The sequence below is a fragment of the Homo sapiens genome, chromosome 8 (assembly GCF_000001405.40).
Source record: "Homo sapiens chromosome 8, GRCh38.p14 Primary Assembly".
Classification (NCBI taxonomy): Eukaryota; Metazoa; Chordata; class Mammalia; order Primates; family Hominidae; genus Homo; species Homo sapiens.
The window spans coordinates 93645769-93659976 of NC_000008.11; the positions used below are offsets into that span (position 1 = coordinate 93645769).

Below are 14208 nucleotides of genomic sequence, written 5' to 3' on the forward strand. Positions count from 1 at the left end.
CAGCATTCTGATTATCCTGGTTTTGTTTCATGTATCACATAGAAACGGGGCAGAACGTCTCTGAGTTCATAGATCCTACAGCTGTTCTGGACTCCCTGTTCCACATCCTGCCAGAGTCACTTAGATGCCGAAATCTTTTGCATTTGTATTCAGGGCCACTAGCTCTTTGAGAACCTCTGATATAGTTTGGATGTGTATCCCCACGCAAATCTCATATGGAAACGTAATTCCCAATGTTGGAGGTGGGGCCTGGTAGGAGGTGATTGGATTGTGGGGGCGGATTTCTCATGAATGGTTAGGAGAATACACACCAGGGAGAAGGGTTATGAGTGCAGCGACCGCGGAAAAGCCTTCAACGACCCTTCAACCCTTAGGAGCCATGCAAGAACTCACCTCAAAGAGAAGCCCTTTGACTGCAGTCAGTGTGGAAATGCATTCTGGACCCTCTCAGCCCTGAAAATCCACGAGACTTCACACTGGTGAGAGCCCTTACAAGTGTGATCAGTGCAGGAAGGCATACGGCCAGAGCTGCCACCTCATTGCACACAAAAGAACGCACACTGGAGAGAGGCCCTGTAAGTGTCACGACTGTGGGAAAGTTTTCTGGCACCCCTCCACCTCAACAAGCAGGTGAGGAATCACACGGCGGAGAAGCCCTACGCATGCACGCAGTGCGGCAAAACCTTCCGCTGGAAGTCGAACTTTAATTTGCGCAAGAAGAACCACATGGCGGAGAAGAGCTATCATGTCCCCGGAGGAAACACATGAGACTTCACATAGTCAAGAAACCCGTGGAATGTCGGCAGTGTAGGAAAACCTTCCGAAACCAGTCCATCCTTAAGACTCACATGAACTCTCACGCAGGGCAGAAACTGTACGGGTGCGGTCTCTGCGGGAAAGCCTTCAGCGGGAGCTCAAGCCTCACTGCACACAGGAAGATACACACACAAGAGAGACGTTAACGACTGCGCCACCTGCAGGAAAGTCTTCAGTGATTATTTATCCCGGCGGAGGCACACGAGCATTCACCTTGTAAAGAAACGCGTTGAGAGTAGGCAGTGTGACAAAGCCTTCAGGAACCAGTCAACGCTGGAGAAGCACATGCAAAGCCACATGAGGGAGAAACCGTAGGAATGCGATCACTGTGGGAAAGCCTTCAGCGTCAGCTCCAACCTGAACGTGCACAGAAGGATCCACACCGGGGAGAAGCCCTATGAATGCCTTGTCTACGGGAAAGCCTTCAGCGAACATTATTCCTTCAGGAGCCACGTGAAAACTAACCGGGGAGAGAAGCTCTTTGAGTCGTCCATGTGGAAAAGGCTCCAGTGAGCACGCCTGCTTTAAAGAAACAGGATTACTCAGACCAGAAACAGATCTCACGGGTGTAGGAGAAAGCCTCTGTGAGCCCGCATCTTACTGGGTGCAAAAGAATCCAAGTAACTTGGGAAAAGTCCAATTCCTGTAAAAACTGTGGGAAGACGAGGTGTTCTCATCCCATAGGAGATTTGTGAGAACTCACGCTGGGTGAGAGAGGGTGAAAATGTACATCTGTAGCATGCAGAAGCCTTCAGGGTACATTCAGCTCTTAACAAACACAGAAGGACTTAAGGCGAGAAACCCCAGCTTGGCATTTAATGTCAAAATGACTTCAGCACTACTTCTAGCCCCTGGGCCCATGAGTAATAATAAGCACACTAGGGAGAATCTCTGTAAATGCAGTGGCTGGGGAAACCCTTCCTGGTCTCACTCGATTCCTCATGACAGAAATCACACTAAAGAGAGAAATCAGTGAAATAGGGAATGTGGGAAGGTCATGAAGAGGTCCGCAAACCATGGCTGGCTGTCTGTGGCATGGTTTGCAAGCTAACAATAGTTGGTTCATCTTTAAAGAGGAAGAAAGTGTGATAGAGAACATATATGGCCAACGAAGTCTGAAATACTTCCTGTCATCTGTCCCTTTCCAGAGAAACTTGGCTGACCCTTTGTCTACAGCAGGGGTCCTCAGGCAGGCCGTGATTTTTCTGTCCAGGTGTCATTTGGCAATGTCTGGAGACATTTTTGGTGTTAGAACTGGGAGAAGATGCTCCTGACTTGTAGTAGGAAGACATCAGGGATGCTGCTGAGTACCCTCCAGTGCACAGGAGCCCCCCACAACAAAGAGTTATGTGCCCCTAAACGTCACTGTTGCTGAGGTTGAAAATAATCATGCAGTCATTCCTCAATTATTTCCTGCAACAATTCCTCAGTTTTCTGAATCTTCTGAGCAGTTACACTAGGAGAAATTTCTTTTACAAAACCTTTAAAATACAATCAGTGCTGATAATTCCTATGTGGAAATGATTCCAGCCATGGTCCCCTCACTTGTGCATGTGAATATTCTCCCTGGGGGAGAACCCCAACAGGATATTCGTGTGAATACGGGATTGCACTTATTCTCTCATCATGAAAACAGACCCCCGCTCATAAATTTTTCATCTTTATTTTTAAGGTTACACTCCTCTAAATAACCCTAAAGCCTCATCACAAAAGGTTTATATATAGTATTTTTACTATAGCTTCATCCTTGATAACGTCCTAATTGCCTTTTGGACAACCTACTTGACCAATCACGTATTTAGATCCATGTGACATGTGGGTATTTCTCAGTACTGGTTTGTTACTGGCACCTAATTTACACGCATTGTGACCAGAGCATGATGTCTCCATCAAGTGGTGGTATGTTTGCAGCCTGCTGTCCAGCCAAGAGTGGCAGATACTTCTAGTGGCTTCCCCAGTGTCCACTCTCATCTTCTTCCCATATCAAGAAAATCCAGGTTCTGTCAGATTAGTAAAGTGTGCTATTTTTAAAAAATCTCTTACAGGTTTTCTTGCAACTAGGACCATCCATGTCCCACAACCCTGGCCAGTGACAAATCAGCAGATTCGCTGCATGGGCTTCTGAGAAAGTTCTTGAACAGGGGTCATTCTTAAACCTGAATTCTTCCCTGTATGTTTTGCTCTTTGCTTTACCCCCTACTTCTCACCTTGCAAGGAGATTCGGTACCTAGTATTGGAAGATCCACCTTATGACCATGCGGATGAAAGCCACAGTCTAAGGAAGTGACTGCAGAAAGCCCACAGCTACCCTGGCCTACCCTGTGGTTTCTTTGAGTGTCTGCACCAGCCCTGGACTTGTTACTTCCAGACGTCCTATCACATGAGAAAAAATAAAACTGATTATGGGTTTAAGCTGCTATGGCTATTTCATAGTTTTTCTTTTAAATTTGTGTATTTTGAGATGGGGATCTCACTATGTTGCCTAGGCCAGACTCAAACTCCTGGGCTCAAACAGTCTTCCTGCCTCAGCCTCCTAAATAGCTGAGAATACAGGCATGTGCCACCACACCCAGCTTTTCTATTTAATTTATTTATTGGTGGGAGGGGGGCTCTACACCCAGCTGGATGCTGCCTGGAGCCCATACACCTGGTCATTGATGAGTTTTATAACTAGTAGCTAAATGTGTGGGCACAACACGTATACTTTTAATTGTAGGATATAGGTTTTTTCATTTGTTTAAACCAATCTTTGACATTGTATTTCAGGTCTTTGATATATCTTTATATTTTCTTGACTTATTGATCATGGTATATTGGTTTTCACAAAAGCGCATGGAGACAGGTACGGTCAGCATCTCTGTTTTGCATATGGGGAATCTGAGGCATGAAAGCTGAGATTTACTTGTCTGAGGTTAGCCTGTTAGCTGGTAGCAGTGTTTGCCTTTGAACCCTGGTGTCTGGCTCCGGAGCTTATACCTCCTTTATGCCCAGCACAGACACTGCTCTGTGGTGTCCAGGGTCTATGCAGAGATTCCATATTTTTGCCCTGGTGGTGCTTGGGGCTGGGGCACCCGATAAACAAACCAGTAAACATATTGTGTATCATGTGGTGTTAAATGCAATGGAAACAACTATGGAGGGAGCATGTAGGTTGAAGGAAGCTATAGGGTGGGTAGGGAAAGACTTGCATTTAAACAGAGATGTCAGGGAACTGCAAGCATGTGCCCTTAATCTCAGGAAGAGCACCCTTGGCAGATCAAAGGCCATGAAGAAGAATTGTGCTTGGGGAAGCCGTGCAATAGCAGAGGTGTTGGTGTGGTGGAGTGAGGCAAGCTTGGGCATCGTAAGAGGATGATGATGTCAAAGCTGTATCACAGACTGTTCAGAAGGGCATCTAGCTGGTTAACTAGATCTTGAACAGAAGAATGACAACTATCCAATTTCAGTTTTCAAAAGGATCACAGTGGCTTCTGGGTTGATAAGCTAAAGAGGGATGAGATATGAACAGAAACCAGTTAGAAGGTCATTGGAGAATTCAAGTGAAATGTAATGGCAGCCAGATTAAGTAGTAGGAGGAGTGGTTTGAGAGTCACATTGATGAATATAGTCGGAGTTTCATTTTAACTTCCAGACAGTAATAATTTTATCGTTATCCCACTATTATGCTTTGTACTGCTAATGAACAGTCGGTTTTTCCCATTTTTCCCAATTACGAACAGTGGTGCTGTAAGGTGTACATGCCTTCCGGAGCACTAGTACGTTTTTCCAGGAGTGCGAGGTTGCTGGGTTGTAAGGTCTCTGCGTGTTCATCTTATCAGTATAATGCCAAAGTCATTTCTACAGTGGTCGTGTAATAATACCGTGTGTGTCTGTGTTTTTGAAAACAGGTTTTATTGAAATGTAACATACATATAGAAATGTGCTTAATTCGTAAGTGAACAAACCAGTTATCACACGAACACTTCCACCTAACCACCAGGTCAAGAAAGAATATTACCAGTATTTCAGATAACTCCTCTTTTTTCCTCCAAATTACACACTCTTCTCTACTCTGTAGGTAACCAGTATTCCGACTCTGACAGTATGGTTTGACTTTTTGTTTTGAGCCCTGTGCAAATGCAGCCAGACAGTATGCATTCTTTCTTTTGTTCTTTTGTCCATCTTAATTTTTCCAATATTTTTGTGAAATGATTAGTATTGTTTCCCGTATCTCTAACTAGTACATTTTATTCTGTTCCTTTGTTTGAATATTCCACAATTCATTTAAGCATCTTATATTCATGACCATTGAACTTTGCAGTTTGGGGTTATTGTGATTAATACTGCTATGAGCACATTTTAATATTTCTGGTTGTGCATGGTGTGTGTACTTATCTTGGTGCATACCTTGGACAGAAATTGCTGGGTCATATGATACGCATTTGTTCATTTTCAGTGGATACTGCCAGTTTTCTACAGTTTATATTCTAACAAACTATTCTGTGCAGTTAGACAAGAAGATACTCACGTTGCCTTCCTTGTCTTATTGATTTATATACGTGTGAGCCCACTGGGTGGATATATGTTTTGTAGATATTTTCTCCTACTCTGTGGCATGTCTCTTCATGTTCACTGATTCTTTGGCCATGTTCAGATGATTAGCCTATCAAAGGCATTCTTCCATTTCTCTTATGGTGGCTTTGATTTCTAATATTTCCTTCTGATTCTTTGAGTTTCCATTTTTCTGCTGATAATGCAGGGCAGATAAGCCCCCAAACTGGGGATTAGCCCAGGTGGTTCTCGGCTTTGCTCAGGAAAGAATTCAAGAGCCAGCGGTAGTAAAAGAAATTGGGTTTATTGAAACAGCAGGGCACAGCGGAATAGCTGCCCCTTGTGGAGCAGGGGTTACTCATAGGCAGTGTGCCCAGAGTAGCAGCATTTGGGCTATTGGATAACAGTATTTATACCCACTTTTAATTACATGCAAATTAAGGGATGGGCTATTCAGATAGCTCTAGAAAAGGAGTGGTAACTTCTGGGTTTGCCATGGCAGTCGTAAATTGTCATGGCGCTGGTGTAAGTGTCTTACACTGATGAGCAGTGAGCGCACCTGGAGTATCCTTCAGCACCATTTGCTGGTTCTGCCACTTTCTTTATTTCATTCTGTCTAGACTAGGAAATAAGCCCTGCCTGTCTCCTACCACACTTAGATTACCCATCTGTTCTTGCGTGTTGTCCACTTTTTCCGTTAGAACCCTTAGTATATTAACCATAGTTATTTTAAACTCCCAATCTGATGATTGCACAATCTCTGCCATATCTGAGGCTAGTTCTAATGCTTTCTCTGTTGGCTTAGACTTATGTGTTTCCTTGCCTTTTAATGTGCCTCATAGCTTGTTATTGAAAGCCGGGCATGGTGCATTCGGTGGTAGGAACAGCAGTAAAAAAGGCCTTCACTGTGGTTGTTCTGGCTAGAAGTTAGCCTCTGTTTACTGCTTGCTGTAGTGATGGTGTCAGAGGCTAAAATTTCCTCTAGTGTCTTTACTCTTATTCCTTCTGTTGTCTTTCAGTTTTCCTAGAGACTTGAAATAGGAGCTAAGGCTTGCAATGCTTCTAACTGTAGTCCTATTAATATACGGGAGCCCTACTGATGTGGTGGTTACAGTGCAGAGAGTGAAGTGTCTATAATACCAGGAGTAAGTCTCAGTCTTTAGTGAGCCTGAATTGGATATTTCTCTTCCCCTAGGTCAGTTAGGTTTTGTTAAAACCCCAGTAGTTTAGTCTCTGGCAACATCGTTTCCCTTGAGGGCAGACCTTACCAAGAACAGAATGTTCTGGGTATAAATCAGAAATACTCTTTCCTCCCCCAGGTCAATCTTCACAGTAAGAACCTAGTTGGGTTCCTGGAGGGAAAACTCAAGAAAGGTAGGAGAGTGGTTATGAGTCTTTCAATTTGGTGTTTGTCTTGGAAGACTGTAAAATTTTCTTTTTCCTTCACCACCCAATTGCCAAAGGATCCCTCTCCCTTCGTTTCTGTCTTCCAGAAGCCTTGTGTTTAGAAGACTGTTTGATACGGTTTGGCTGTGTCCCCACCCAAGTCTCATCTTGAATTGAGCTCTCACAACTCCCATGTGTTGTGGGAGGGACCCAGTGGGAGGTAATTGAATCATGGGGGCGGGTCTTTCCTGTGCTGTTCTTGTGATAAGTAAGTCTAACGAAATCTGATGGTTTGAAAAGGGGAGTTCCCCTGCACAAACTCTCCTGCCTGCCACCATGTAAGACGTAACTTTGTTCCTCATTCACCTGCTGCCATGTAAAACATAACTTTACTCCTCATTCGCCTTCCACCATGATTGTGAGGCCTCCCAAGCCATATGGAACTGTAAGTCCATTAAGCCTCTTTATAAAGTCTTGGGCATGTCTTTATTAGCAGTGTGAGACACACAGTTGCTCCGGCCTATAAATGACACATAGTTTTAAGTCCGTTTCCTCAGTTCTCCTATGATTGGCCAGGGTTTTTTTGTTTTGTTTTTTTGCATTTTCAAATTAAGGGTAGATCAGTTAGAGGGTCTTGCTCCAGCTCTGTCTCAGGCCCCCCACCAGCTCTCCCTCTTTCTTGCAGTTTACCTCACAGAGCCTTGGGATGGGCATGTGTGGAACCGTGGTGCTGAGATTTCATGCTTTATCTCATTTTACTCATAGTTATTTTGCAATTTTGGCATTCTCTCTGTCTTAAAGGCAGTGTTGAAGGTATAGTTTTTTGCAGAAGATTCATTGTGGAGTTACTTCATAGCATTTAAGAGGAGATTTGGGGAGGTTGCTTACCACTCAGTGGCCATTGTTTTTAGTTACCTGGAAGTCTCCTCACCTTAGTTTTTGAAAATACTTTGGCTGGATATGCTTTTTTATTTATTTTATTTTATTTTATTTTATTTTATTTTTTGAGACAGAGTCTCTGTCACACAGGCTGGAGTGCCGTGGCATGATCTTGGTTCACTGCAACCTCCACCTCCCAGGTTCAAATGATTCTTGTGCCTCAGCCACCTGAGTAGCTAGGATTACAGGCATGCACCACCACACCCAGCTAATGTTTGTATTTTTAGTAGAGACGAGATTTCACCAGGTTAGCCAGGCTGGTCTCAAACTCCTGACCCCAGATGATCTGCCTGCCTCAGACTCCCAAAGTGCTGGGGTTACAGCGATGAGCCACCGCAAGCAGCCTGGATATGCTTTAAAGAGGTCATATCTTTGTCTTCTGGCCCCCATTGTTTCTGACTAAACGTTAGCATTATTCTTAACAATACCCCCTGTATGTAATGTGTTGTTTGTCAAACTGTTGAAAACTCAAGATAATTATCTAAAGGGCAGCCAGTGACAAACAACACATAAATGTATATGCTTTTATCTTGTTAACCTAATCATATGTCAGTTTAATTCTTGGGCCCAGCTAGGATCCTAAGATGATGTAGGTGAAATTTTGTTGCCCCTACAATATGGACATTAGTTTGCAAGTGTCTGTTTGAGTTCCTGCTTTCAATTCTCATGAATTTTCATAAATTGTTTTCTTCCTCATTTTCTCTTTTTGGGACTCCAGTTGTGCCACAGGACTCTTGAGATTCCTGTTTCATTCTTCTGATGTGTTTGTTTTCCAGTTTGTATGACTTCTACTGACATATCTTAAAGTTCACTAGCTCTTCTGTCCTTTTCATCTGTCGAATCCATTTAGTGACTCCAGTCTGGGCAACAGAGCAAGACTCCGTCTCAAAAAAAAAGGTTGTCTTCAAACCACCTTCTGCTGCAAGCAGAACCCAATTGCATAGGAATCCAAGCTCCATGACAGAGAGACTGAGATTGAGCCTGGATGGCCGTTGGGGACCTCATGGCTTTGAAGACCCTGGACCCCTGTGTTGCTGGAGATGGTGTCCATGTCCTCACATGGTCTGTTCAGCCCTCTTTCTGACACGTGGAGAGGCAGCTGCTGCAGTTCAGCACAAACAAGATGTAGTGTGTCTCCAGGGTGGGAGCCTGCAAGTGGTGGACTCTGACTTTGACTTTAAGGACAGATTTATTCCTTAATGTTCTTCCTTATATGATTGGTTCTTCTGCGGGCCTCAGACTCCCTCTCCAATAGCCTTCTGCCCTCTCCCATTTTCACATTTTCATTTTCGAGCTTCCTTAGCTAAGTGGTTTTACTTTTGTTTGTTTGGTTTTGTTTTTTTTTTTGGAGACAGGGTCTGGCTCTGTTGCCTAGGCTGGAGTGCAATGGCATGATCTCAGCTCACTGCAACTTCCACTTCCTGGGTTCAAGAGATTCTCCTGCCTCAGCCTCCAAAGTAGTTGGGATTACAAGTGTGCACCACCATACCAAGCTAATTTTTGTATTTTTAGTAGAGACAGTGTTTCACCATGTTGGCCAGGCTGGTCTCTAACTCCTGACCTCAAGTGATCCTACCACTTTGGCCTCAAGTGCTGGGATTACAGGTGTGAACCACCGCACCTGGCCTTACATTCTTATTCTGTGCATATTGGCCATTGTGGGCATCATTCCTCACCTGAGTGAACACATCCATGAGTGAACATCCTGAGTGAACACATTCTTAATATTTGTGTCCTGGGACCTAGGTTTGGAGTTTGGAGTAGAGAGGCCAAGGGTTTGTAGTTAGGCAGTTTACTTCCAAAATATTTATGTATTGTGCTTTCTTCTTTATAAAAACCCTTGGGGGACTGTTAAGTGTGTGTCTAAGCATGGATTTGGGTTTTCTAGACCGGAGATCCCTAGTCCCTTTGAAACTGTGAGTGTGAGGGTATTGTGTTTCTTCAGAAGGTCTAAGAGTTGTTCTCAGTGTGGCTGCAGAGTATGTTGTACTTAGAGACCTCATCAGAATGGATAACCCATTTGCCTCCATCACTTACGAAACAACGACTTTTAACAGCTACATTAAAATGCCACCGGTGTCATACTACATTCCCATAAATACTGGGAATTAACTGATGACTTTCTCGTCCAGGTATTCATAGGCTTTGGCAATGCAGCAGTACACAAAACAGATCACATTCATAGGATTCTTGACGTTAAACTTTGGAGCCAGAGTACAAGCAAATATATAAACACTAGGAAGAAAAGTAAATACTGGCAAGAATAAATGCTATGAGGAAGAGTAAAGTTGAATAGGAGTATAGACAGATGGGATTGACCCATTAAATTTGTACAGTGTACAGCATATACTCATTTTTGGTCACTTTAGCTTTTTAGGAGACAAAATCATCCCAGAAATTCTCAAGAGGCAGCTTTCCTGTATATTTCAGTTTCTCCTAAAACAGACGAGGGCTGGGAATCCTTACTGAGGAATCACCCAAGCATTTCTTTCTGTCATGACAAGAGCAATTTCTGTTTGCTCCATGAGACCCTGTTTCTCTCACTTGCAACTTTCAGGTTGCAAGATTTGAAAAATGCTTGTCAAAACTTGATGGTTATTTTTGTTTTTAAAGGCAGTTGGATCTGCATTTTCTTCCAGTCCACTCACTTCTATCTGGTTTGGCCTCCAAGATCTTAATCTTTTGCCCAAGAAAATCCTTCCATTTAAGCAACATGAGTTCCTTGATTTGTCTTTAACTAGCCCACTGCTACTTTTCTGAGTTCAGAATAAAAGCTGATTATTATTATTATTAATTATTATTATTTTGAGACAGAGTCCTGCTCTGTCACCCAGGCTGGAGTGCAGTAGCATTATCCCAGCTCACTGCAACCTCTGCCTCCTGGGCTCAAGCAATTCTCCTGCCTCAGCCTCCGGAGTAGCTGAGATTACAGGCACGCGCCATCACGCCCAGCTAATTTTTTTGTATGTTTAGTAGAGACAGGGTTTTGCCATGTTGGCCAGGCTGGTCTCGAACTCCTGGCCTTAAGTGATCTGCCCACCTTGGCCTCCCAAAGTGCTGGGATTACAGGCGTGAGCCACCATGCCAAGCCTAAAAACTGATTGTTAACCTGATCTAGCTACTCCTCAAGAATCTAAATCAATCAATTTGCTTCCTAGAGACAGAAGTTCCAGCCTTGGACCTTGACAGTTATTTTGACCTAACATTGGTTATAATTTTTCTCCACCTCATCCAAGAAGATGGTGGATTGGAGCTCTTTTCACATAGCTCTACCAGTCTTCCCAGCAACACTGGGGGATAGTCATTTATTTTCTGCAGAGAAAGAGATAGATGCAAACAGTCAACTTACCAGCTGGAAACTGGGACCAGTATCAATTTCTTACTGTGACATTCAGCCCTCGTTTCACCTCTTGACCCCTTTCATGCCTGCATCAACCAGTAGTTCTGTTGGGCTCAGAGCTCATGACAGAGGGGCTCACAGTCTTCCATTTGGCTTCCTGAAATCCCTTCCTTTCCCCCTTGCAGTGCTTCCATGCAGGACTTTGGGTGTGTAGTAAGGGCAATTTACATCCCTGAGTGAAAATGCTGAATGTTCAGCGAGACTTGGTCACTAGGCTCATTAGTGAAGAAATAGCAATTATTCACTGGGTGTTGCTGGGTTTGAAAAAAAAGAATGTGTACCCTAGAGGCCAGGCCCAAAGGGAAGAGCGTACTTTCTCTCAGCATTGAGTAAAATGCATTGAGTAAAATTTCTCTCAGCATTGAGTAAAATCGGCCATTTTTTAAATGAGCCTTGGGAATCCAGCATAACTATTCCCTCTATGCCCAATTTCTCCATCACAATAATGAATTCCATGTACAACCTAAGTGACCCATGACTGTTGGATCTCACTGCACTTCCCTGCCAATTCTCAGAATAGACAGAGTATCACACAGTTTCTGGAGGGAACTTCTAATTACAGGAACACAGTCTTCTTGTCTGAGTCTTGTTTTCAGTTCTTGGAGCCTCTCCAGCAGGGACCATCTCTGTCTTGTGTAACATTTGGGTAACATCCAATCCACTCAGGAATTCTTCCCTGCTAGGGAACCTACTATATACACCCAATGAATATCAGCTAACTGCCCTCCACTTTTAATTAGGTTTTGGGAAGAAAGATCAATAAGACATAGTCCTGCCTTTAAGGGAGTAAAGGTCTAGGAGAAGAGGGATATCAACAGTAAATAGGATACCTATTATGGCAGGTGAATCCATTTGGGAGGCCCCAAATGGGGAGGATGTTGAACTTGGACCATAAAGAAAATCTAAGTAGAAGAAATGATACAAGCTAAGTGTAGAAGGCTTAGTAAGAGTTCAGGAGTAGAATCAAATAAGCATGCTAATCCTGAGCGCAAAGGCGCAGGAAAAAATGACAGTATGTTACATTCTGTAGATAAAAGACAATCTTTGGAGTAGGAGGCAGGCTTGAAGGGTAATATGGGACAGATTGTAGAACACACACATATCCTTTTTCTTTTCTCTTTTTTTTTTTTAAGACAGTCTCATTCTGTCGCCCAGATTGGAGTGCAGTGGCATGATCATAGCTCTCTGCAACCTCAACCTCCTGGGCTTAAGCAATCCTCCAACCTCAGCCTCTCAAGTACTTGGACTATATGCACACGCCACCATGCCTGACTAATTCTGTTTTTTATTTTTGTAGAGACAGGGTCTTATTATGTGGCCCAGGCTAGTCTCAAACTCCTGGGCTCAAGCAATCCTCCCACCTCAGCCTCCCAAAGTGCTGGGATTAGTCATGAGCCACTGTGCCTAGCCCACACACATACATCAATATGTTAGTCTATCAGTTTCAATTTAAGTGTTAGTTGGAAATTGATGAAAATCAATTGACATTTGATGAAATTTGCAATTGAGCAAAGTAACTGGTTCCCAATTGGGGAACAGAATGAAGGGTCCTGTTTCTATGAGGTTTTGTTTCATAGCCACCCCAAACATAGTAGTTTAAAACAACCACCAGACTGGGCTCAGTGGCTCATGCCTATAATCCCACCATTTTTGGAGGCCAGGCGTGAGGATCACTTGAGTCTAGGAGTTCAAGACCAGCCTGGGCAACATGGCAAAACCCTGCCTCTCAAACAACAACAACACCCCACCACCATTTATTTAGGGTTTGTTGCTTGACATTTTAGGCTGTGCTTGGCCTGAGAGTTCTCTTGACTGGCTTCTGCAGTCAGTTTCTAGGTAGGATGGGGTTTATTGTTCTTCACTCAATGTCTCATTCCCCAGCCATCCAGGTTAGGCCTGTTCACACATTGCTGGAGGGTACCATTGTATTGGGTTTGCCTACACCCCATCAGCCAGTGCAATCATGGGTGAGCCCAAGGTGAAAGGGCCCTCAGCTACATGGAAGGGGCTTGGATATAGGAAAGAAAAGACACAGTGGCCATTCTTTTCTGCAGTTGGCCACAAGGCCAGTGTATTATTGCAAGAATCTAAGTAAGGGGAACAGCTTTATTGAGATATGATTAACATGTGGGAAATTCGCATTTTTTAAGTATACAACCTGATAAATTTCAGCCTATGTATACACCTATGAAGCCATTACGAAAATCAAGATTGTGAACCATTGGCCAGGCACGATGGTGTGTGCTCATAATCCCAGCTACTCAGGAGGCTGAGGTGGGAGGGTCACTTGAGCTCATGAATTCAAGACCAGCCTGGGCAACATAGCAAGACTCCATCTAAAAAAAAAGTGAACCCCCCAAAATTTCCTAATGCTCCTTTATGTTAACAATTAATATAAACAATAATAATAATTTTCCCCATTCCTTCTCCAGGCAACCAATGGGAGAGGATCACACTTCTCCCAGTGGCTCATTCCATTATTGACAGCCATAACCATGTTTTCCTGTAAAGAATCGAAGCCTGACTTCCAACCACTGCTTTTCTTTCCCTGTTCTTCTCCTCCCCTCTCCCCCAATCCTTTTCTCACCACCAACGTAGTACACTGTGGAGCCTCTCACAGTGGAGGTCTTATTGTGCCCTTAGTGGAAGGTGTGGAGCTGTAGAGATGTGGGCAGGCACTCAATTAGAGTCCTTCCTGTTTCATTGGAAACTACACATGGAAAGAGCCACATAGAGCATCCTAGAGATGGAAACAGAACATTGCACACAGGTGGAAGAAAATTTGGTTTATGATTCTGGGAGGCTGAACATGAAATCATGCCAGCAGACCAAAGCAGCTTATTTTATGAGACTGAAATTCTTTATAGAGATACTCAGATCCTAGGAATAAACAGCTTAAGTTTAAAAGGTCTTGAAACCATAAATCTCACTAATTATCTTGGTTTTGTCTTTATGGCTGGTACACAGCAAATCCTGCCAGAGCTACTCAGCAGCCCTAGGCTTCTGTCCCTTTAGATATCAAGGTGTGCAGGTGAAAGCACAGCATTTTCAAGACACCTGAGGGCCACCACTCATTTGTTTTTAGAGACATTAGACCTTCTACTTTACATATATATATATATCTTTTGGCAGATGCT

At 43.6% G+C, this 14208-nt stretch overlaps 1 long non-coding RNA gene and 1 pseudogene across 1 annotated transcript in view; one reads left to right on the forward strand and one right to left on the reverse strand.

Annotated features, from left to right (window-relative positions):
• Positions 1-14208, reverse strand: part of CIBAR1-DT (CIBAR1 divergent transcript) — a 353967-nt gene that overhangs the window by 299302 nt on the left and 40457 nt on the right. Inside the window, exon 5 of the long non-coding RNA NR_033858.1 lies at positions 13659-13811. This is a non-coding gene — a long non-coding RNA (CIBAR1 divergent transcript). The remainder of the gene's footprint in view (positions 1-13658; positions 13812-14208) is intronic.
• ZNF317P1 (zinc finger protein 317 pseudogene 1) lies at positions 298-1525 on the forward strand (annotated as a pseudogene).